This window comes from Homo sapiens, chromosome 20 (assembly GCF_000001405.40).
Source record: "Homo sapiens chromosome 20, GRCh38.p14 Primary Assembly".
Classification (NCBI taxonomy): Eukaryota; Metazoa; Chordata; class Mammalia; order Primates; family Hominidae; genus Homo; species Homo sapiens.
In genome coordinates, this window is record NC_000020.11 from 47,399,347 (window position 1) to 47,424,386 (window position 25,040).

Here is a 25,040-nt window from a genome sequence, read left to right on the forward strand (position 1 = left end):
GTTTGCATGTCTATACTTACATATACATGTACGTGTATCCAAATATGTATGTATATGTGTATTTGTTTTTTTTGTTGTTGTTCGTTTGTTTTTCCAGATATAGTCTTGCTTTGTTGCCCAGGCTGGAGTGCAGTGGCGCAATCTCAGCTCACTGCAACTTCACCTCCTGGTTCAAGCAATTCTCATGCCTCAGCCTCCTGAGTAGCTGGGATTACAGGAGCCCACCACACCTGGCTAATTTTTGTATTTTTAGTAGAGACGGGGTTTCACCATGTTGGCCAGACTGTTCTCAAACTCCTGACCTCAAGTGATCCGCCTGCCTCGGCTTCCCAAAGTGCTGGGGTTAAAGGTATGAGCCCCCGAGCCTGGCTGTATATGTGTATTTGTATAAAATTACCTAGGCATGGAGAAAAAGATGGGAGCATACAAACCCGAGGTGAGAACGGGAGAGAAAAAGGAGAAATAGGGAAGGAGAAGCCAAGAGAAAAAAGAAAGAGAAAAACCAAAAAGATTTCTCTAGAAGAAACTTCCTGGCCGGGCATGTTGGCTCACGCCTGTAATCCCAGCACTTTGGGAGGCCAAGGGCAGGGGTGGATTACCAGAGGTCAGGAGTTCGAGACTAGCCTGGCTAACATGGTGAAACCCCGTCTCTACTAAAAATGTAAAAATTAGCTGGGCGTGGTGGTGAGGCCCTGTAATCCCAGCTACTCGGGAGGTTGAAGCAGGAGAATCACTTGAAACTGGGAGGTGGAGGTTGCGGTGAGCTGAGATTGTGCCATTGCACTCCAGACTGGGCGACAAGAGCAAAACTCCATCTCACAAAACAAAAAACAAAAAACAAAAACTTTCTTTCCCCCAACATATATGATATGATCACATTTATGATTTTTTGTAAAATTATATGCGTGTGCATGTACATGTATAAAACCGTTAAATCATAGATTTAATGCATTATAATCAAACAGAATTTAACACAGAATTAGACTTACTGTTATTATGGCACCATCATTATTAATTATGCCTGCAATGCCTCCTTTATGCAGAGAGTAACAATGCATATTTGCATGAACAGTATTTCTGGTGTATAATTTTCCAATTATCTGGTATTAGAATATGCACGTATTATGAATCAAATATGAATTATTTAGACTCTTCCCCCGAAATATATCCAGAGTCCTGGAAGTTAATTTATGTGGTTGAATAATTAATATAAGTGATTATAGCACCCCGCCCCCTTAAAGAAAAGACCATTTGGTCTTTGCCTGCCCAGCAACTGAGGCCCTTGGAGGAGACTCTGCCTTTGCCCAATAGTTTCCCTGGATTTTTGTAATGGGAAGAATGAAACAGGAGCCAGACAGAGAGGGAGCTATGGAGTAGATCAGTAGAGCTTTTCCTGCTGAGCAGACTCTTGCCAATCACTTTCGTTCTTCTACTCCAGATCTGGATCTCTCAACGCTTGATGTGAACATGTGACCCAGACCTAGCCAATCGGAGGGCTTCATCCATCTGGCCAATGTGATTGGTCAGATCTGGGCACATGACCCAAACTGGGCCAATCAGAGGATTCATTTCCTACCACTTCCTGCTGAAACTGTCAGAGACACGCCTTTCTTGAGACTGCTGGCCCCTCTCACCACACTGAGAGTGAAGCCTCACAGAAGACGCTGACAGCATGAAGGACTAGAAGATTCTGAAGACATCTTTGAGCACCTGGCTCCAACTGTGCTAGGATCTTAGGATCTGGGTATATTTAAAGTGCACAATGTCTTTTATTTTATTTTTTTTTTGAGACGGAGTCTCAATCTGTCGCCCAGGCTGGAGTGTAGTGGCGCAATCTCGGCTCACTGCAAGCTCCACCTCCCAGGTTCACGCCATTCCCATGCCTCAGCCTCCCCAGTAGCTGGGACTACAGGCGCTTGCCACCACGCCCAGCTAATTTTTTTGTATTTTTTTAGTAGAGACGGGGTTTCACCATGTTAACAAGGATGGTCTCCATCTCCTGACCTCGTGATCCGCCCGCCTTGGCTTCCCAAAGTGCTGGGATTACAGGGCGTGAGCCACTGCACCCGGCCTTTTTTTTTTTTTTGAGACAGTCTCTCTCGCCCAGGCTGGAGTGCAATGGTGCGATCTTGGCTCACTGAAACCTCCACCACCTGGGTTCAAGAGATTCTCCTGCCTCAGCCTCCCGAGTAGCTGAGATTAAAGGTGCGCACCACCATGTCCGGCTAATTTTAGTATTTTTTGTAGAGAAGAGTTTTCGCCATTTTGCCCAGGCTGGTCTTGAACTACTGGGGTCAAGTGGTCTTCCTGCCTCTGCCTCCCAAAGCGCTAGGACTGCAGGCATGAGCCAACACGACTGGCTGTGTTCATGAGCTAATATTGTCTCTTCTGGTTTCTGTTTGATTTCCAGATTAATGGTATATCCATCAAGAGTAGTATTCTTGGCCGGGGGCTGTGGCTCACACCTGTAATCCCAACATTTTGGGAGGCCTAATTGGGAGAATCACTTGAGCCCAGGAGTTTGAGACCATCCTGGGCAACGTAGAGAGACCGCATCTCCACCAAAAAAAAAAAAAAAAAAAAAAATGCTGGGCGTGGTGGCTCACGCCTGTAATCCCAGCACTTTGGGAGGCTGAGGTGGGAGGATCACTTGAGGTCAGGAGTTCGATTCGAGAACGGCCTGGCCACTATGGTGAAACCCCGTCTCTACTAAAAATACAAAAATTCGCCGGGTGTGGTGGCAGGTGCCTGTAATCCCAGCTGCTCGGGAAGCTGAGGCAGGAGAATCGCTTGAACCCGAGAGGTGGAGTTTGCAGTGAGCCGAGATCGCGGCATTGCACTTCAGCTTGGGCGACAGAGCCAGACTCCGTCTAAAAAAAAAAAGAAGCCAGGCGTGGTGGTGCGTGCTTGTGGTTCCAGCTACTCAGAACACTGAGGTGGGAGGATTGCTTGGGCCCAGGAGGTCGAGGCTGCAGTGAGCTGTGATTGCACCACTGCACTCCAGGCTGGGTGACAGAATAAGACCTTGTCTCAAAAAGAAAAAAAAAAGCAAGATTCTTGGGTTCTGTTCTTTCTCATTTGTTCTTTCTTTCTTTTTTTTTTTTTTTTTTGAGGTGGAGTCTTGCTCTGTCTCCCAGGCTGGAGTGCAGTGGTGCAATCTCGGCTCACTGCAAGCTCCGCCCGCCGGGTTCACGCCATTCCCCTGCCTCAGCCTCCCGAGTAGCTGGGACTACAGCGCCCGCCACCACGCCTGGCTGATTTTTTGTATTTTTAGTAGAGACGGGGTTTCACTGTGTTAGCCAGGATGGTCTCGATCCCCTGACCTCGCGATCCACCCGCCTCGGCCTCCCAAAGTGCTGGGATTACAGGTGTGAGCCACTGCGCCTGGCCTTGTTCTTTCATTAAATTTTTCCTCAACACTATGTGCCAAGCCTTTCTGAGGCTCTGAGGGTACAAGGATGAATCAAACTGAGTATTATGGCAGAGACAGCTGTTTCAGCACTAATATCTCTTTTTTCCCCTTCTTTCTTTAATAACAGAAGTTATGAGTTTTAGGTGGGTGCATGTTTATCCAGTTGATGACTACATTTCTCTTTTTTTGTTTTGAGACGGCGTCTCACTCTGTTGTCCAGGCTGGAGTGCAGTGGCACAATCTTGGCTCACTGCAACTTCCACCTCCCGGGTCAGTGATTCTCCTGCCTCAGGCTCCCGAGTAGCTGGGACTACAGGTGCCGGCCACTGCGCCCGGCTAATTTTTGTATTTTTAGTAGAGATGGGGTTTCACCACGTGGGCCAGGTTGGTCTCCAGCTCCTGACCTCAGGTGATCTGCCCACCTTGACCTCCCAAAGTGCCAGGATTACAGGGGTGAGCCACCATGGCCGGCCCCCGATGACTACATTTCCTTTTTTTTTTCTTTTCTTTTTTTTTTTTTTTGAGACAGAGTCTAGGTCTGCCACCCAGGCTGGAGTGCAGTGGCGTGATCTTGGCTCACTGCAACTCCTGGGTTCAAGCAATTCTCTTGCCTCAGCCTCCTGAGTAGCTGGGATTACAGGCACCCAACAACACCATGCCTGGATATTTTTGTATTTTTAGTAGAGACAGGTTTTCACCATGTTGGCCAGGCTGGTCTTGAACTCCTGACCTCAGGTGATCTGCCTGCCTCGGCCTCCCAAAGTGCTGAGGTTACAGGTGTGAGCTGCTGTGCCTGGCCTGATGACTACATTTCTCAGCCTGCTTTGGATCTAAGTGTTGATGTGACTGAGTTCTGGTCAGTGAGATATAAGCAACAATGATAAATGTTCCTTCTAGGTCATGCTATTTTTTTTTGCTCTGACACACTTTATCATCACTTAATGGGTCATGCTATTAAAAGGAATGGATATGTTCTCCCTTTGCCCCTTTTTCTGCCATTTTCCACTGGCCAGGATGCAGGTGTGATGGCAGGACCTAGAGCAGGTACCTCGACCCAGAGATTGAAGCTGTGTGTTGAAGCTGGCCATTGCCTCCCTGCTACCCTAGGACCTCCTAACTTGGGTTGTTAGTGAGAGAGATATATACTTGATTTTGTTTAAGCCACTAAACTTAATGTCTCTTTGTTATAGCAGCCTAGATTTTACCCAAACTAATAAGCCTTTGACCTCCACTTCTAGTGAAATAGACCAAAGAGACAGCCACCCCCTGCCCCCCGCAAAAAAGTGACAAGTTCTGAAATAGATATAACCCCATGGTGTTGTGAGGTTATAAATTAGGGCATGCGTGGCTGGGCGCAGTGGCTCACGCCTGTAACCCCAGCACTTTGGGAGGCTGAGGCAGGCGGATCACCTGAGGTTGAGAGTTCGAGACCAGCCTGACCAACATGGAGAAACCCTGTCTCTACTGAAAATACAAAATTAGCTGGGCATGGTGATGCATGCCTGTAATGCCAGCTACTCGGAAGGCTGAGGCAGGAGAATCACTTGAACCTGGGAGGCAGGGGTTGCGGTGAGCCGAGATCACGCCACTGTACTCCAGCCTGGGCAACAAAAGCGAAACTCCGTCTCAAAAAAAAAGTTAGGGCATGCTCAACTTGGGCTGAGACACTGTTTGATGAAAGGCTTACTGAGGAGGATGGCTGAAAAGAATTCCCATAAGCAGAAATTGGAGTAGGGCTGGACGTTTGAATCAATTAAAAATGTTTTGAGCTGTGAGCAGTGGCTCACACCTGTAATCCCAGCACTTTGGGAGGCTGAGTCAGGAGGATCACTTGAGTCCAGCAGGTCAAGGCTGCAGTGAGCCATGATCAGGCCACTGCACTGCAGCCTTAGTGACACAGCAAGATACACACACACACACACACACACACACACACACACACACACACACACACACGGTGTTTTGGCTATAAGTAACAAGAATAACAAAATACAACAAGGAATATCTTTAAGGAGTCATTCATTTATTCTACAAACATTTTCCTGTCACTTACTATATTCCAGGTCCTGTTCTAGGTGCTGGGGATATGGCAATGAATAAAACAGATCAACCCCCTCACCACTCCTGAAAATCCAAGAAAAACTCTGGCTTTATAGATTTTATGATCTGTGGGGAGAGATTTATTATCTTACAGAACAAGAAATCCAGAGATAGGTGGTCCTGGGCTGGTGGATAGAGGCTCAACACTATCTTAAAGGACCTTATTCTTTCCATCTCTTCACTCTGCCATCCTCAGTGTGTCGGCTTTTTTCTCAACCTTGTAACCTCATAGTTGTAATATGGCTGCCACTGCTCCAGGAGGCACATCACATACACATTAATCCAGTGGAGTAGAAGAAGAGAACCTGTTTCCTCCCATGCTGCTCTTCTTTTTTATTTTTCTAGCAGGAAAACTTCCTCGGAAGTCTTCAGCTAACTTTAAATCTTATTTACTAGAATTGCATCACATTCCTAATAAAATCACTGGCAAGTCGAAGGAAACAAGCATGAGTGGCTTAGGTCAGTGTTCTCAAATGGTTGTCTCAGGACCAGGCACGGTGGCTCATGCCTGTAATCCCAGCACTTTGGGAGGCCAAGGTGGGTGGATCACCTGAGGTCGGGAGTTTGAGACCAGCCTGGCTAACATGGTGAAACCCTATCTCTGCTAAAAATACAATTAGCTGGGCGTGTTGGCACGCACCTGTAATCCCAGCTACTCGGGCAGCTAAGGCGGGAGAATCGCTTGAACCTGGGAGGCGGAGGTTGCAGTGAGCCGAGATCATGCCACTGCACTCCAGCCTGGGTGACAAAGTGAGACTCCGTCTCAAAACAAAACAAAACAAAACAAAATGAGACAAAAAAGCTGTTGTCAGGTTATTAATGACTCCAAAGAGCTTTGGTTTATGTGGTTATGTCTATTGATATTTGCTATATTAGAAGTTAAAAGTGAAAAAAATTAAACATGTATTTATTCATTCAAAATTATCCTTTACATAGTAACATAAATAATTTTTTATGAAAAATAGCTATACTTTGCAAGACAAAAAATAGTGCAAAGCATGGCATTTTTTGTTTGTTTCTTTGTTTGTTTGTTTTAGACAGGTTCTTGCTCTGTTTCCCAGGCTAGAGTGCAGTGATGCAATCATAGCTCCCTGCAGCCTCGACCTCCTGGGCTGAAGCGACCCTCCTTCCTCAGCATCCTGAGTACCAGGAAGCACAGGCTTGCAGCACCACATCCAGCTAATTACTTCATAATTTTTATAGAGACAAGGTCCTTCTGTGTTCCCCAGGCTGGTCTTGAACTCCGGGACTCAAGCGATCCTCTGGCCTTGGCCTCCAAGTGGCAAAGTGGCCCTGTTTTGCATTTTGCTATTATCTCTTTGATGTCTGCTTAACAGAAGAAGCTGGATTTTCATGCCTGCTTCTGCATTCAACCCATTGTGATATTCTGTTTTGCTTTAAATACACAGAAATTCTGGTCTCATACATGTATGTTGTTGCAAAAAAGAAGGCTTTGTGGACCTCTTGGAAAGGTCTTGAGGATTCAGCATTCACAACTGGAGAACCACTGACTTATATTGATTAAAACTCACTCTCTGAGGATCCCTTGAGCCCAGAAGTTTGAGACCTGAGCAACATATTGAGACTCCGTCTCTAAAATATAAAAATAGGCCAAGTGTAGTGGTTCATGCCTGTAATCCCAGCACTTTGGGAGGCCGAGGCAGGTGGATCACTTGAGGGCAGGAATTCGAGACCAGCCTGGCCAACATGGTGAAATCCTGTCTCTACTAAAAATAGCAAAATTAGTTGGGCATGGTGGCGCACACCTGTAATTCCAACTACTTGGGTGGCTGAGACAGGAGAATTGCTTGAACCTGGAGGTGGAGGTTCAGTGAGCCAAGATTGTACCACTGCACTCCAGCCTGGGCGACAGTGCGAGACTCCATCTCAAAAAAATAAAATAAATAAAAATTTAAAAAATTACCTGGATGTGGTGGTGGTGTGCACTTGTAGTCCTAGCTGCTTGGGAGGCTGAGGTGGGAGGATCATTTGAGCCCAGGAGGTGGAGGCTGTGGTGAGCTATGATCGTGCCACTGCACTCCATCCTGGGAGACACAGCAAGACCCTGTCTCAAAACAACAACAACAACAACAGCACTCACTCCCTGGGCTATAAAGAGGCTTAGCCCCCACCCATAATTCCACACAGCTCAACCTCCCTATAAACACATGGCTGCTTCCATTCCTTAACAAAATCATAATTCTCTCAGCAAGGAGAAAGGCAGGGAGGGGTATTGGACAAAATCATAATTCTCTCAGCAAGGAGAAAGGCAGGGAGGGTTATTGGGTGGGCAGCCCACAGAGTCTGCCACGGATTGCTCTACAGCGGAGGTTTTCCAGCCTATTCGACCGTGTCCCACAGTAACAAATACATTTTACATGGTGACTCAGTACACACATGCACACAACAGAAACATTTTTATTAACAATACTTAGGCTTGCAACATGGAATGCCCTCTGATATTTTCTATTCTTTGTATTCTTTTCTATTTCTTTTTTTAAAAAGTGCTGGCTGTAACCCAATAAATTCACTTCATGATTCACTAGTGGGTCATAATCTTCAGTGTGAAAAATACTGTTCTCTAGGGACTTGTTATTTGATTGGATAGAGGGGCTAGACAGAGGCCTTCAAAGGAGGGAATTCATAACCATTGCCTCAAAAGTTGGCCAAGGAATTGCCCCAAGATGCCTGTGTTGACCCAGCCTTTGTCCTTTTTGCCTGCATTAACTCTTTTATATTGAGCAGAGGGCAAGTAGGCTCAACTCAAATGGTGTTAAGTAAAAAGGTAAGGCTGGGCGCAGTGGCTCACACCGCGGCACTTTGGGAGGCCGAGGCAGGCGGATCACCTGAGGTTAGTCTGGCCAACATGGTGAAACCCCATCTCTACTAAAAATACAAAAATTAGCCAGGCATGGTGGTACGCGCCTGTAGTTCCAGCTACTCGGGAGGCTGAGGCAGGGAGAAACCCTTGAACCCGGGAGGCGGAGGTTGCAGTGAACGGAGATTGCACCACTCACTTCAGCCTGGGTGACAAAAAAAAGTCTCAAAAAAAAAAAAAAAGTAAAAAGATAAACAGAATTATAATTATAACAAAATTTATTGACTCATAGAATTGGAAATCCCAGGAGCCTCGTGAGCTTCAGGCACAGCCAGAATGATGGCCACAGGGTAAGTACTTGTTGATCTCCCCCTGGAGACCCTCATGTCCTCCATGTTGGCTTCTCAGGAGGAGAATCTCAGGCAATAGTGCCCCCTGTAGCTCCCCAACTTCAAAAACCAGAGTATAGAAAACTACATCTTACTGGCAGGTCTAGAAAAATGTCGCCAAACCTGGATCATGCATCCACCTTTTTTTGTTTGTTGGTTTTTGAGACAGTCTCGCTCTGTTGCCCAGGCTGGAGTGCAATGGCACGATCTCAGCTCACTGCAACCTCCACCTCCTGGGTTCAAGCGATTCTCCTGCCTCACCCTCCTGAATAGCTGGGATTACAGGTGTGCACCACCATGCCTGGCTAATTTTTGTATTTTTAGTAGAGACAGGGTTTCACTATGTTGGCCAGGCTGGTCTTGAACCCCTGACCTGGTGATTCACCTGCCTCGGCCTCCCAAAGTGCTGGGATCACAGGCATGAGCCACCGCACCTGGCCTATGCATCCACCTTTTGAAGGGAATGTTGAGGTCAGCCTTCTCTGAACACGTGGGGTGAGAGTGGATGGGCAGTGGCTTTCCAGTGGAGAGGAGGAAGTTGTTGCTTGAAGCAGGGAGGATTTTGAGCAGGCAAAACCAGCAGATGTTTACTACCTCAAGCTCCATGAGGCCAGGGAAGGTGCTGGGTCCTGAGCACCACTGTATGCCCAATGACTGGCACAAATTAGACTCAGAAAATACTTGTATGAACAAGGGCAATTGTGTTGTATGATTGGGTATCCATGGACAATTTACATATTTGAAAAGGTAACAGAAAGATTTGTAGGGCATGATGGCTCATGCCTGTAATCCCAGGACTTTGTGAGGCTGAGGTGGGAGGATTGCTTGAGCCCAGGAGTTCAAGACCGGCTTGGGTAGCACAACAAGATGCCATCTCTACAAAAAATTAGCTGGGTGTGGTGGCATGTACCTGTGGTCCCAGCTACGTGAGGGGCTGAGGCAGGAGGATTGCTTGAGCACAAGAGGTCAAGGCTGCAGTGTGCTATAATCCTACCACTGCACTCCAGCCTGGGCAACAGAGAAAGACCACATCTCAAAATAAAAAAACAAAATAAAGAAGGATAGACAAATAGGTTAGTGGAAGAGAATAGAAAGTCCAGCTAGCTGGGTGCGGTGGCTCACGCCTGTAATCCTAGCACTTTGGGAGGCCGAGGCGGGCGGATCACAAGGTCAGGAGATCGAGACCATCCTGGCTAACACCGTGAAACCCTGTCTCTACTAAAAAAATACAAAAAATTAGCCGGGCGTGGTGACGGGCGCCTGTAGTCCCATCTACTTGGGAGGCTGAGGCAGAAGAATGGTGTGAACCTGGGAGGTGGAGCTTGCAGTGAGTGGAGATGCGCCACTGCACTCCAGCCTGGGAGACAGATCAAGACTCCGTCTCAAAAAAAAAAAAAAAAGAAAGAAAAAGAAAGCCCAGCTGAGACTGACACATATATGGCCAAATTATCTTCAACAAAGTCACCAGGGTAATTCATTGAAGAAAATCAATTTTGTATTTCAACAAATATTACTGGGACAGGCCAGGTGCAGTGGCTCATGCCTATAATCCCAGCACTTTGGGAGGCTGAGGCAGAAGGATCACTTGAGGCCAGGAGTTTGAGCAGCCTGGGCAACAAAGGGAAACCTCGCCTCTGTCTAAATAAATAAATAAATAAAATTCACTGTTGAGAAAAAGAAAAGGCCACTGAATTGTATACTTTATTTCATTTTATTTATTTATTTTTGAGACTGAGTCTCGCTCTGTCACCCAGGCTAGAGTGCAGTCTCATGATCTCAGCTCACTGCAACCTCCGCCTCCCTTCAAGCGATTCTCCTGCCTCAGCCTACTGAGTAGCTGGAATTACAGACATGCACCACCATGCCCAGCTAATTTTTGTTATTTTTAGTAGAGATGGGGTTTCACCATGTTGGTCAGGCTGGTCTCCTGACCTCGTGATCTGCCCACCTTGGCCTCCCAAAGTGCTGGGATTACAGGTGTGAGCCACTGTGCCCGGCCTGAATTGTATACTTTCAAATGGTTTGGCCGGGTGCTGTGGCTCAACGCCTGTAATCCCAGCACTTTGGGAGGCTGAGGCAGGTGGATCATTTGAGGTCAGGAGTTTGAGACCAGCCTGACTAACATGGTGAAACCCCATCTCTACTAAAAATACAAAAAAAAAAAAGAAGATAAAGAAAGAAAGAAAAAGAAAGTAGCTGGGTGTGGTGGCATAGTCCCAGCTACTTGGTGGCTGAGATGGGATAATCACTTGAACCCGGGAGGTGGAAGCTGCAGTGAGCCGGGATTGTGCCACTGCACTCCAGCCTGGGCAACAAGAGTGAAACTCCGTCTCCCCACCAAAAAAACCCCAAAAAACATTATATCTTCCTGGCTAAGTGATTGGCTTATGGTAACTCAGACTGAGCCAACGAAGCCCTCCTCAGTTTGTTCTTGGAACTATTGTCAGGGGTATTTTCCCTTTCCATTGGTGTTGCTGTGCTGGTGAGAAATAACCCCAGAACCAGCAGGTAGGCAAAGCTACAGGAGAGGAAAGCCAACTTGGAGAAGAACCGAGAGATGATAGAGAAATGGAAACCAGCCATGTTGAGCCCCTGGGTTCAGGTTCACCTGATGTCCTCCAAACTTTTTGTTCAGGCTAGTTTAGGATGTGCCTATATTTCTTGCAAATGAGTCTCCAAATACAAACCCCAAATCATTGTAGCAAAATGCACTGACCAACTGTGCTTCCACGATCAGATCAGTAAGCTGGGTGCAGTGGCTCATGCCTGTAATCCCAGCACTTTGGGAGGCCAAGGTGGGCGGATCACTTGAGGTCAGGAGTTGGAGAACAGCCTGGCCAACATGGTGAAACCCCATCTCTACTAAAAATACAAAAATTGGCCAGGTGTAGTGGCAGGCACCTGTAATCCCAGCTACTTGAGAGGCTGAGGCAGAAGAATCACTTGAACCTCGGAGGCAGAGGTTGCAGTGAGCTGATATCATGCCACTGCACTTCAGCCTGGGCGACAGAGCAAGACTCCGTCCCAAAACAAACAAACAAACAAACAAACAAACAAACAAAAACCAATGTGTAAGTGAACAGAGAGAACAAGAAGTTTAAGGAAAATTAAAAACATAAAGGACAAAGTGAGAGAAGAGAATATCTGTAAAATACATGAATACACACACACAGTAGATGTTTCATGGTTGTTTATCCCCCACCTCTCGCTGGAACACAGACTGGTGCCCCACTTCGTGCTTGGGATGTCCTTCCTCTGTTTCTTGGCTGAGTCGAACTTGTGCTGCTTCCTTTCTCCTTAAATATCCTTTCCTCTGGACAGGATGTTCCTGAAGGAGGCCACAAGGCAGAACATCTCGGCTAACTTTAGTTTGCTATTTTCAGCCTGAATTTGTGCCTGGGCAAATCAGTCCACGGACAGAGTATCCTCCCCAGTTGGATATTTCTTGCATGAGCATCAGAATTTTGTGGGACACAAGGCTTAGTTTCACTAAGCTCTGAGCCTCAAAACCTGGTATGCATCTGGGTTAGAGAGCCTCATCCAGTCTTTTTTTTTTTTTTTTTTTTTTGAGATGGAGTCTCACTCTGTCGCCCAGGCTGGAGTGCAGTGGCGTGATCTCAGCTCACTGCAAGCTCTGCCTCCCGGGTTCATGCCATTCTCTTGCCTCAACCTCCCGAGTAGCTAGGACTACAGGCACCCACCACCACACCCGGCTAATTTTTTGTATTTTTTTTTAGTAGAGACGGGGTTTCACCGTGTTAGCCAGGATGGTCTTGATCTCCTGACCTTGTGATCCGCCCGCCTCGGCCTCCCAAAGTGCTGGGATTACAGGCGTGAGCCACCGCGCCTGGCCCTCATCCAGTCTTAAAAAAAAATTCCCTGAGCTGTAGAATATATGGTGGACATATTTTCTGCATTCCTTTTTTGATGTAGGTAGGAAAAAAACCCAAAAAACCCCAAATCACAATTGTCCCTCCAGGGAACTGAGAAGCTGGGGTACTTACCCATTGACTCCTGTATTCCATTGGTTAAGAAAAGCTTCTGGTGGCTTTAAGTCCCTAACACTTTTTTGGGGCTGTCTTGCATCCTGTGCTGGAGACAGCTCTTAGGTTAAGAGACACAGGTGTTCAGCCTGGGCAACATAAGGCGACACTGTCTCTGCCAAAAAATAAAAAAAATAAAAAAATAAAAGCCAGGGGGTGGTGCGTGCACCTGTGGTCCCAGCAACTCAGGAGGCTGAAGTGAGAAAATTGCTCGAGTCTAGGAGGTTGAGGCTGCAGTGAGCTGTGATCATGCCACTGCCAGCAGCCTGGGCAACAGAGCAAGACTTTGCCTCAAGAGAAAAGAAAAACAGTCAGATGCGGTGGCTCATGCCTGTAAACCCAGCACTTTGGGAGGCTGAGGCAAGTGGATTACTTGAGGTCAGGAGTTCAAGACCAGGCTGGCCAACATGGCAAAACCCCATCTCTACTAAAAATACAAAAATTAGCTGGGCGTGGTGGCTTGCACCTGTAATCTCAGCTACTTGGGAGGCTGAGTTAGGAGAATCACTTGAACCTGGGAGGTGGAGGTGTCAGTGAGCCGAGATCACCCCACTGCCCTCCAGCCTATGCAACAGAATGAGACTCCATCTCAAAATAATAAAAAAGAGACTAGTGTGGGAGGATCACCTGAGCCCAGGAGGCGGAAGTTGCAGTGAGCTGAGATCACGCCACTACAGTTTAGCTTGGGTGACAGAGTGAGACTCTCTCAAAAAAGAAGAAGAAGAAGAAGAGAAACAGATGTGTGTGTGAGGTGGGAGCTGCCAGCCTGTCCATCATAGTTGTAGCTAATCTCAGAAGCAGGCCAAGGGGATTTGCTATAGGGCACCAGCAGTATATGCTAGAAAGAGAATGTAGTACATGTACTGGCTTGTAGCACAGGGGACATTCTAGTTTTAGGCAATGCTGAATCAAGGGCCTCAAATAATGTCAACAGGACTTGAACTTTCACCATCTTTTAGTTCCTTACACCTTATATCCTCTATTAGTGGCTTCTCACAACTGTGGGCTTAATCCTACCAGTCCAGGAGCCCCAGTAGAACAGAGCATCCTTTCTAACACCTGAGCTGACTTTCATGGTCTTGCTTGAGTTCTGTGCCCAGTCCTGCTCTACGGCCAGGAAGCTGTGGCCCTCTGATTGACCAGATCTGAGCTAAACGCAGTGGTGTGTTGATAAATGTCTAACAATAGTCTTTTTGAGAAAATAAAAGTTTTGATTTGTAGTGTTTCCTGATTTCTATGATGTAAGTACCCCCATTAGCTTGAAACCATAGCCGATTTCAATTACCAATGTAGTGTCAACCGGTTTACAGAACTCTTGTCATGTCCCATCAGCTCTAGTGAGCTAGTTCGAGCCAGCTCAAACACAATGCTGGCTCATGTGTCTCCTGTTGAACAGAGGCAGTTGAGGCACCCCATGCATTCCACAGGGACTGAAGGTGGGGAAGGGAAATCGGGTGCTGTTGTCACGATTTGGGGGGCGAATAGTTGCTGAATGGGAAAAACCAGGTCTCCATCAATCATACAGACAGACAGAGATCCTGTCTCCAAAAAAAAAAAAACAAACCCAAAAAACTGCAACAAACATCTTGGTAAATATATCCTTATAATATAAAATTATATATCCTTTGTTTGTTTGTTTGCTTGTTTGTTTTGAGACAGGGTTCTCGCTCTGTCACTCAGGCTGGAGTGCAGTGGTGTAAACTCAGCTCACTGCAACCTCTACCTTCCCGGCCTCTACCTCCCTCACTATAACCTCAACCTCACACCTCAGCCTCCTGAGTAGTTGGTAACATAGGCATACACCACCATGCCTGGCTAATTTTTTGTATTTTTGGTAGAGAGAGGGTTTCACCATGTTGCCCAAGCTGGTCTCGAACTCCTGAGTTCAAGCGATCCACCACCTTGGACTCCCAAAGTGCTGGGATTATAGGTGTGAGCCACCATGCCCGGCCACCTTATATATCCTTATATGTTGTCTTTTCTATAACACTGGTCAGCAAACCAAGGCCCACAGAAAACCAAACCCAGTCTGGCACCTGTTTTTGTTTTTGTTTGTTTGTTTGTTTGTTTGTTTGTTTATTTATTTATTTATTTATTTATTTTAGATGGAGTCTCCCTCTGTTGCCCAGGCTTGAGTGCAGTGGTGTGATCTTGGCTCACTGCAACCTCTGCCTCCCAGGTTCAAGTGATTCTCCTGTCTCGGCCTCTCGAGTAGCTGGGACTACAGGCACGCCCCACCATGCCCGGCTAATTTTTATATTTTTAGTAGAGACGGGGTTTTACCATGTTGCCTAGGCTGGTCTTGAACTCCTGACCTCAGATGATCCACCCGCCTCGGCCTCCCAAAGTGCTGGGATTACGGGCATGAACCACCTTGCCTGGCCTGGCACCTGTTTTGTAAACAAAGTTTTGCAGGAACACAGCAAACTCATTCATTTACATAATGTCTGTAGCTGCTTTTGCAGTACCCCAGCTGAATGGAGTCATTCAGAGACTGCATGGCCCAGAAAGCCTAAAATATTTACTCTCTGGCACCCTTTACAGAGAAAGTTTGTTAACCTCTGCTCTATAATATAGGACCTACATTATGGAAAGGGAAAAAGATATATGTTTTAAAAAATTTAACAGACAGCCGGATACAGTGGCTCACATCTGTAATCCCAGCACTTTGGGAGGCCAAGGCGGGTGGATCACCTGAGGTCAGGAGTTCAAGACCAGCCTGACCAACATGGCGAAACCCCGTCTCTAATAAAAATACAAAAATTAGCAACGCATGGTGGCACACACTTACAATCTCAGCTTCTCAGGAGGCTGAGGCAGGAGAATAGCTTGAACCTGGGAGGTGGAGCTTGCAGCGAGCCAAGATCACACCACTGCACTTCAGCCTGGGTGACAGAGCAAAACTTTGTCTCAAAAAAAAAAAAAAAAGAAGTGTACAAAGAAGAAAGCCCACTCTTCTATCGCAATTACCAGTTTGGTGTAATAGTCCAATCAACACAATAATCAATACACACACACACAGTTTTGTCCTTTCTTAAAACAAAAACAAAAACAAAAACAAAAAAACAGGAATGGATCAGTAATTTCCTGTAGCTATTATCCCCGAAATACTTTTGTATTATTCTGCCCGTTTTCTGATAGCTCATAATCAAAGAAAGATCACTGCAGGTGTTTGGACACAAAAATCCTAGCAGCTGGTGCCCCTCGCAGCAGAATTTCAACCTGACACACTGGGAGCCAGAATGTTTGTTGGCTCTGATAAGCTAATAACCACATGTTTCAATGTCCCGTGTCCCTGAAGAAGCCATTTTCATGTGACTTTCCTGCTTCAGACCAGGCCCAGTTCACTGAGTTAAAAACCAAAATGCTCATCGTGGCCTACAAGTTCCTCCGTGACCTGGCCTGTAGCCAGTTTTCTGGTACCGCTCTTCCCCTTGGTCTCTGTGCCTTCTTTCACTTCCTCCAAGTTGCACCAAGCCCTTTCCGGCCTCGGACTGGGTTAGTCAGAACTCTTTCAGTTTCAAGTGACAGAAACCCAACTCGAACTGGACTAAGCCTTTAGAGTGTATTAGGCTCATACAACCGAAAAGTCCCAAGAAGGCCGGGCGTGGTGGCTCACGCCTGTAATCCCAGCACTTTGGGAGGCTGAGGTGGGCGGATCACCTGAGGTCAGGTTCGAGACCAGCCTGGCTAACATGGTGAAACCCCCGTCTCTACTAAAAATACAAAAATTAGCCAGGCATGGTGGTGTGCGTCTGTAATCCCAGCTACTCGGGAGACTGAGGCAGGAGAATTGCTTGAACCTGGGAGGCGGAGGTTGCGGTGAGCCGAGATCGCGCCATTGCACTCCAGCCTGGGCAACAAGAGTGAAACTCTGTGAAAGGAAGGAAGGAAGGGAGGAAGGAAGGGAGGGAGGAAGGAAGGAATGAAGGAGGAAGGAGGAAGGAGGAAGGAGGAAGGAGGAAGGAAGGAAGGAAAGAAAGAAAGAAAGAAAGAAAGAAAGAAAGAAAGAAAGAAAGAAAAGAAAAGGAAAGAAAAGAAAAGAAAAGAAAGAAAGAAAGGACGGACCCAAGAAGGTGGATTCAGACATAGATGGCTCTAGTCTCCCTTGGCTGCCCCTAGTCTCCACTGCATTATCTTCATTCTCAGTCTCTCCCAAAGGGATGGAAGGATGGTCCTAAGGTTGCAGCCTAATTAGCCATCCAGGTGGAAAGAGGACTCTCATTTCCTCTTTATTGCTCTAGAAAAAGGTCCTGTGGGCCAGGTGCAATGGCTCATGCCTGTAATCCCAACACTTTGGGAGGCCAAGTTGGGCGGATCACGAGGTCAAGAGATTGAGACCATCTGGCCAACATGGTGAAACCCTGTCTCTACTAAAAACACAAAAATTAGCTGGGTGTGGTGGTGCAAACTTGTAGTCCCAGCTACTTGGGAGGCTGAGGCAGGAGAATCGCTTGAACCCAGGAGGCAGAGGTTGCAGTGAGCTGAGACTGCGCCACTGCACTCCAGCCTGGGCTGCAGGGCGAGACTATTCTGTCTCAAAAAAAAAAAAAAGAAGAAGGCCCTGTGGATAAGGCTCATTGAATCAGCTGGCGTGACACAACCATCCCTGAACCAATCGCTGTGATCAGTAGGGTAGGCTTCACTGATCAGTCAGCCTTGGGTCTTGTGCCTCACACCCTCCCACCAGCACTGGTGGGGGAATCTGCCCCATCTGAAACATGAACACTGGCAATCAAGAAGGGAAATAGCCGCAGGCAGGCAAAAACAACAGGTGTCCACGGCAAGCCTCTGTTCATATCCTCCCCTCTGCCTGGAGCACCCTTCACCCACTTTTCACTGTGACAGCAAGGTTATTTTTCACAGCTTTGGTAGAGCAGGCAAAAGATTAGAAGTGGCACAGCTGCCTATTAATAAGAAATTGCACTTTGGGAGGCTGAGGTGGGAGGATCCCTCGAGCCCAGGAGTTTGAGGCCAGCTTGAGCAACACAGTGAGACCCCATCTCTACAAAAAATAAATAAACTAGCCAGGTGTAGTGGTCCTGTAGTCCCAGCTACTTGGAAGCCTGAGGTGGGAGGATTGCTTGAATCCAGGAGTTTGAGGCTGCAGTGAAACCCTGTCTCTAAAAAAAAAAAGAAAGAATGTAGAGAATAACCTTGCTTGTGCTTCAGACATAGGCAGTAGAATGCCGAAATAGGCTTGTCCCTGCTCCGGAGAGCCACTTCCTAAAAAGTCAGGAATCTTAAGTCAGTTGTACACTGTAGGTAGCTTGAAATTAGCCATGGTGGAAGTATTTACACCACAGAAATGGGCAAATGCTGCAAACCAGGGCTGTTTTGTTTGTTTGTTTTTCCCTTGGAGAGCCTCTTTATCAGCACAACACTGCCAGAGAGGGGTTTGAAAAGTTCCTCTGGTCAGAGGTCAAAGAGCACTGACAATTAGCCCCAAGAAATCAGAACAGCCAGGTATGGTGGCTCATGCCTGTAATCCCAGCAGTTTGGGAGGCTGAGGCAGGAGGATCTTGAGCTCAGGATTTCGAGACCAGCCTGAGCAACATGGTGAAACTCCATCTCTACAAAAAATACAAAAAATTAGCTGCGTGGTGGTGTGTGCCCGTGGTTCCAACTACTTGGGTGGCTGAGGTGGGAGGATTGCTTGAACCCGGGAGGTTGAGGCTTCAGTGAGCTTAGATTGCGCCACTGCATTCTAAGCCTGGGTGACAGAGCAAGACCCTGTTAAAAAGAAAAGAAAGAGAAGGAAGGAAGGAGGGAGGGAGGGAAGAAAGGAAGGAGGGAAGGAAGGAAGGAAGGAAGGAGAGAAAGAAAGGAAGGCAAGACAAGGCTTGGCTTTGGGCAGAAGGGAGAAACTTATTGGGTCAAAGGAGGAACAGAAGTCTAGGTAGTTGACTTTTCTTCCAAAGTACAGATCCCTTTGAAGTAAAGCCAAGGCACTATGAGGGTCGTGACCCTGAATCATATAAGGTGCCGGCTGGTCTTTGTTTAATGCTCGCTGATCTTTGTTAAATGCACTGGTTGGTAGGATAGTGCTTTTGTCTAGAGCTAAGGTCAAAGAATATTACACTAAGGCAAAGATTTCTCCCTACTTGCAGTAGGGATCAAATAGGAAAATGAATGCAAACATTTGGAAAAGTACGAAATAGCCTCCCAAAATATTAGGCAAAAGTTAGAGAAAATGATGATTCATGCTACAATAATTACTACCTTTCCAAGGAAAAATCAAATCCTTTATGCTTCTGGCACAGTAACATTGCAATGTACATTACCACTCACTGCATTGCCTCAACAGTCATCATTTCGTGCCCCCAGGAAAGGAAAGTTACAGTGATTCGGAAAAGCAAAAAAAATCTCCACAGTTATTGACAACAGTATTCATGGAGGTTAAAGAGGCAGTTTGGCCTCATTTTATTGTGAACTCCGGTTCTTATAACAGCAAGAATAATCATCCACTTTTTTTTTTTTGTAATGCACCCTTGATGTGAAAATCCAGGAAATAAAATGTTTCCAATTCAAGATGTTCTTTCCATATAATTCCCAGCATCCTCCCTCCCTTAGCCCTGAGACCATCAGACAGGACCAAGAATCTCTCCCTCCCTTCTTTCTTCACAGATAACTTTCTCATTGGCCAGCCTGCCCTCAGCCCCTGCACTGTTAAATGCTAGCGGCTTCCTTCCTCCCTCCCTCCCTCCCTCCTTTCCTTCCTTCCTTTTTTATTTATTTATTTATTTTTTATTTATTTATTTTTTTGAGCTAGGATCTCGCTCTGTCACCCAGGCTGGAGTGCAGTTGTGTGATCATGGCTCACTGCAGCCTCGACCTCCTGGGCTCAAACAATCCTCCCCTCAGCCTCCCGAGTAGCTGGGACCACAGGCATGTGCCAGCCACCACAACTGGCTAATTTTTTTTTTTTTTTTTTTTTTTTTGAGACTGGGTCTCGCTCTGTCACCCGGGCTGGAGTGCAATGGCACGATCTCGGGTCACTGCAACCTCTGCCTCCCGGGTTCAAGTGATTCTCCTGCCTCAGCCTCCCAAGTAGCTGGGATTACAGATGCCTGCCACCACGCCTGGCTAATTTTTTTTTTTTTTTTTTGAGATGGAGTTTCTCTCTGTCACCCAGGCTGAAATGCAGTGGTACGATCTTGGCTCACTACAACCTCCCCCTCCTGGGTTCAAGCGATTCTTCTGCCTCAGCCTCCCAAGTAGCTGGGACTACAGGCGCGAGCCACCATGCCCAGCTAATTCTTGTGTTTTTAGCAGAGAGGGGGTTTCACCATATTGGCCAGGCTGGTCTCGAACTCCTGACCTCGTGATCCATCCACCTCAGCCTCCCAAAGTGTTGAGATTACAGGCGTTGAGCCACAGCGCCTGGCATTTTTTAAAAAAATATTTTAAGTAGAGACGGGGTTTCATCATGTTGACCAGGCTGGTGTCGAACTCCTGACCTCAGGTGATCCGCCTGCCTCGGCCTCCCAAAGTGCTGGGATTGCAGGCGTGAGCCACCGCGCCTGACCACAACTGGCTAATTTTCAAATTTTTAATAGAGACAGGGGTCTCACTATGTTGTCCAGGCTGGTCTTGAACTCCTGGCCTCAATCAATCCTCCTGCCTCTGCCTCCCAAAGTGGTAGGATTACAGGCGTAAGCTGCTGTGCCCGGACTACCTCTTTCTTAATATGCAAATTGTCCCCACGTAGTAGGGGCTCAAAAGGAAGGCGGTGCTGGGGTGAAAGCAGGCATCAATTTAAGCAGTTCTTAGACTAGAGCCATAAAACCAAACTACACTGTCTGTCATCACCTGAAGAGAGGGGCTGTTCCAGGCGCAGCTGGGAACACAGCAGCAAACTGGGTTTCCCAAACGTGAGTTAACCAGCATCTTACACGCGGGTTAAAATGTCCCCTTACGTTATGAGATGTAGGGAAGGGGTGGTTCCTGATCAAGAAGGCCACTTCAAACCAGATGACTTTGCTTGTCTGCATAGAGCCTGCACTGTGCATGGCTGCCCTGTGTCACAGATGGGCTCTTGCTTCCTTCTGTCAATTTCAGGAAAGATGTGTGCTGGGAGACCTGGGGCAGGAAGAGAGGGATGCCCCTAACTACATTACTCTGTAGAATCAGATTAAGATGCTCAAGTAGAGGGGCCTAGGAGAGGGAAGGAGTTCACGGAAGGGCAAGCAGAGAGGAGGAGGAATGATTTCCAGCATCCCCATCTTCCCTGTCCCTCCTGCTCCACTGCTCTGAGCACTCCCTCCCTGCACAGAGGGACTAGAAATAGGATCTCAGGGCTGGGAGAGCAATGGCTCATGCCTGTAATCCCAGCATTTTGGGAGGCTGATGTGGGAAAATCACTTGAGCCCAGGAGTTCGAGACCAGCCTGGGCAACACGGCAAAACCCCCATTTCATTATTGTTATTATTTTTAAAGACAGAGTCTCACTCTGTTGCCCAGGCTAGAATGCAGTGGAGTGAGCTCAGCTCACTGCAACCTCAGCCTCCTGGGTTCAAGAGATTCTCCTGCCTCAGCCTCCTGAGTAGCTGAGATTACAGGCACCCACCACCACACCCAGCTAATTTTTCTATTATTGGTAGAGATGGGGGTTTCACCGTGTTGGCCAGGCTGGTTTTGAACTCCTGACCTCAGGTGATCCACCCACCTCGGCCTCCCAAAATGCTCGGATTATAGGCGTGAACCACCGTGCCCGGCCCCAAACCCCCATTTCTACAAAAAAAAAAAAAAAAAAAAAATTAGCCAGGTGTCATGGTGCATACCTGTGGTCTCAGCTACTCAGGAGGCTGAGGCAGGAGGTTTGGTTGAGCCTGAGAAATTGAGGCTGCAGTGAGCTGTGATTATACCATTGTCCTCCAGCCTGGGTAACAAAGCAAGACCCTGTCTCAAAAAAAAAAAAAAAAAAAAGGATCTTGGGACTTTTCACAGGGCCCAGGGCCCAGGCCTCCCATCCAGAGAGGGCCTCCCACCAAGATGTGCACATCCCCTCTGACAGGACCGAGTTTTAAAAATCAACAACAGTGTTGGTAACCCTATTTGGTTTTTCTGCTTTTTTCTTTTTCATTAAGTGAGACCTTTAAAAAACAGAAGTGCCTTGGTCTTCTCTCAACCTCTGAGAGGCCCTGTGTGCTGCGGGCATCTGCTTTTCAGCTGGGAAAGTTCAGCCTCCTCCCACTCCACAGCCTCTCTCTGGCTCCAACCATCAGCCCCCAGCTGGGGTGTCAGGTGGGACCTTCAGAAAGGTGGTGTCTTGAGTTGAGTTCCTGCAGAAGCTGACTAGGGACAGACTCCGTGCAATAGTGGCATGAGCCACTGTGCCTGGCCACAAATGGCTTTATTTTATGTATTAAATTAATAATTAGGGCTGGGTGCGGTGGCTCAAGTCTGTAATCCCAACACTTTGGGAGGCTGAGGTGGGCGGATCAGTTGAGGTCAGGAGTTCGAGACCAGACTGGGCAACATGGTGAAACCCCGTCTCTACTAAAAATACAAAAATTTGGCAGGCGTGGTCGCGGGTGCTTATAATCCCAGCTACTCAGGAGGCCAAGGCAGAGAATCACTTGAACCTGGGAGGCAGAGGCTGCAGTGAGCTGAGATTGTGCCACTGCACGCCAGCCTAGGCAACAGAGTGAGACTCTGTCTCAAAAAAAATTAATTAATAATTATTAATTAATTTGCCCAGGCTGGAGTGCAGTGGTGTGAATACAGCTCACTGCAGCCTTGAACTCCTGGGCGCAGGTAATCTTCCTGCCTCTGTCTCCCGAGTAGCTGAGATAACAGTTGTAAGCCACCATACCTGGCTAATTATTTTATTTTTTGTAGAGATGAGGTCTCACTTTGTTGCCCAGGCTGGGCTTGAACTCCTGGGCTCAAGCGATCTGCCTGCCTCAGCTTCCCAAAGTATTGGGATCACAGGTGTGAGCCACTGTGCCTGGCCACAAATGACTTTCTGAGACCCATCTCCTCCCCATTTCTAATCTTAAGAAAATCAGAGGATCAGGCCACATTGGGCCCACGTCCCTGTCTTGCAACTCTTGGTTGAACTGAGAAGTGACTGCCTCTTTTATTTATTTATTTATTTATTTGTTTGTTTGTTTGTTTGTTTGTTTTGAGACAGAGTCTCGCTCTGTCTCCCAGGCTGGAGTGCAGTGGCACAATCTCGGCTCACTGCAACCTCCACCTCCCGGGTTCAAGCAATTCTCCTGCCTCAGCCTCCTGAGCAGCTGGGACTACAGGTGCGTGCCACCACGCCCAGCTAATTTTTGTATTTTCAGTAGAGACAGGGTTTCACCATATCGGCCAGGCTGGCCTTGAACTCCTAGCCTCGTGATCCACCCACCTCGCCTCCCAAAGTGCTGGGATTACAGGCGTGAGCCACCGTGCCCGGCTGTGACTGCCTCTTTTAAATAGAGCCACGCTTTCCTCTGGGTCCCCATTTGGTGCATTTCACACCTTTTGTTAGTTCAGTGTCAATATCTTGCCTCTAGAGAAGTCAGGGACCATTTCTGTCTTATCCTTCTAAAACCCTCCTCCCACCCTCCTAGTCACTTGCTACCCCACCCACACTGTCTCCCTGTGGCTTGCACACGTTCCCTTTGCACCTGTACTTCCCTCTGTCTGCCCAGAACACTCTCTTTCCAGAGTTCCTGCTGGCTCACACACTTTCTGCTTTGGTACAGATGAGCATTCTTGGAAACCAAGTGTTAAGGACAGTGGAGCCACAAGATAGGGGTTCAGGAACATGGATCCCCGAATCTGTACCTGGTGGAGGAGGAACTCCATTGATCAGGAACTCCTATTGTGAAATTTATAGGAGAAGAACTAAATGATTGCATCAAACCATCAAGATTTGGAGCTTATCTGTCCATGACCCTGGCAGTACCCTAAATGATGAACAAGGTGAGTCACATTTGGGGTGGAATGCTTGCAAGCTCGCTTGTCCACACACCAAAAGCCATATTCGCCAGCCAGCATTGTTGGGGATAATGGTGATCATTTGTTCTCACTCTGAGACAAGCATTTGTCTTTCAAACTATTCTGAATTCAGGTGATAGAAAAGGATGTTGCTTATTACGACACTTAAAATTCCAACAAGAATTAAGGCCTGAATAATACCATGGGTGGTATTGATGGTATTGATGGGGAGAAGGGAGGAACAGGTTCTGAAACACATATAAAAAATTCGATCGGATGGCACAATTGTTTTCCAGGCAAAAGAGCAAACCAAACTATTTTTAAATGTCAAGAGCTAAATAGCCTGGAGAAAATGTAATATATTACAAGCAGTAAGCAACAGACCTACACATAAGTTGATACCTTTCAACATAACAGAATGGCGAGTCCTGGCTTAACCTTCTGCACTTCCAAACCGGTTCCCTCCTAGAATTAACATTTTCTTGTCATCTTAGAGTAAAGGCTGTGCATTCTCAGCCATTAAGTCTTCCAGGCTGAAAGCTTTCCTTAAACTTGTTTCAATCCGTCTTTGATTCTGAAATGCTCCAATTACATTTCCATAGTGGCCATGTTAATTAATGGTGATGATCAGACTTAATGAAAGAGGGAATTAGTAAGCCATTCCCTGGCCACTTTCATAAAAAGGGAGAGTGCTAACAAGTGCTAATGGCCTGACATGGAAACCTCACCTTCCCCGGAGCTTTTAACCTGCAGTCACATCCTGAAACATAACCCGAAGGCTGCTCTAAGCAACTGGGTGTTTGATCTTCTTCTTGTAAGCAGAGCTACTTATACTCAGATTTCTCAACTGAATTCATCCTAGAAAATAGGGCCTTCAGGCCTGGCATGGTGGCTCACACCTGTAATCCCAGCACTTTGGGACGCTGAGGTCGGGGGATCACCTGAGGTCAGGAGTTCAAGACCAGCCTGGTCAACATGGTAAAACCCTGTCTCTACCAAAAGTACAAAAATTAGCCAGGTGTGGTGTCACATGCCTGTAGTCCCAGTTACTTGGGAGTCTGAGGCAGGAGAATCGCTTGGACCCGGGAGGTAGAGGTTGGAGTGAGCCGAGATCGCACCACTGCACTCCAGCCTGGTAACAGAGTGAGACTCTGTCTCAAAAAAAAAAAAAAAAAAGGGGGCCTTCAAGCAGCAAGAGATTTGGGTCCAGAAAACCATGACTGGCAAAAGCCAATAATTTTGCCCACAGACTTAATAGTTGCATTATCATGTAGTATACATTGTTATGTTAGTATGTTATATGACATTATATTATTTTATAAAATTATGGGCTTTTTTTTGTT

General features: G+C 47.0%; 1 long non-coding RNA gene across 3 annotated transcripts in view, besides 5 other annotated features; it reads right to left on the bottom strand.

The window, feature by feature from the left end:
* LINC01754 (long intergenic non-protein coding RNA 1754) overlaps positions 1 to 12,798 on the bottom strand; it is a 29,379-nt gene extending 16,581 nt beyond the window's left edge. Inside the window, exons 1-2 of one of the 3 annotated variants that reach the window (NR_146494.1) lie at positions 11,922 to 12,048; positions 7,437 to 7,577 (exon numbers count right to left, since the gene is read on the bottom strand). This is a non-coding gene — a long non-coding RNA (long intergenic non-protein coding RNA 1754). Of the gene's footprint in view, positions 1 to 7,436; positions 7,578 to 11,921; positions 12,049 to 12,723 lie in introns of those variants that run through there. The other 2 variants (NR_146496.1, NR_146495.1) reach the window with 2 other exon arrangements.
* Positions 11,062 to 11,251: an enhancer, noted in NCBI's record as "active region_17992". NCBI's record gives its function as "activates an Ori minimal core promoter by ATAC-STARR-seq in GM12878 lymphoblastoid cells {active_cell/tissue: GM12878}" and the evidence as "EXISTENCE:reporter gene assay evidence [ECO:0000049][PMID:35858748]".
* Positions 13,449 to 13,608: an enhancer, noted in NCBI's record as "active region_17993". NCBI's record gives its function as "activates an Ori minimal core promoter by ATAC-STARR-seq in GM12878 lymphoblastoid cells {active_cell/tissue: GM12878}" and the evidence as "EXISTENCE:reporter gene assay evidence [ECO:0000049][PMID:35858748]".
* Positions 15,342 to 15,391: an enhancer, noted in NCBI's record as "active region_17994". NCBI's record gives its function as "activates an Ori minimal core promoter by ATAC-STARR-seq in GM12878 lymphoblastoid cells {active_cell/tissue: GM12878}" and the evidence as "EXISTENCE:reporter gene assay evidence [ECO:0000049][PMID:35858748]".
* Positions 16,433 to 16,482: a silencer, noted in NCBI's record as "silent region_12977". NCBI's record gives its function as "represses an Ori minimal core promoter by ATAC-STARR-seq in GM12878 lymphoblastoid cells {active_cell/tissue: GM12878}" and the evidence as "EXISTENCE:reporter gene assay evidence [ECO:0000049][PMID:35858748]".
* Positions 16,709 to 17,208: an enhancer, noted in NCBI's record as "H3K4me1 hESC enhancer chr20:46044799-46045298 (GRCh37/hg19 assembly coordinates)". NCBI's record gives its function as "activates a minimal SCP1, AML or CMV promoter by ChIP-STARR-seq in naive H9 embryonic stem cells {active_cell/tissue: H9 hESC(naive)}" and the evidence as "EXISTENCE:reporter gene assay evidence [ECO:0000049][PMID:30033119]".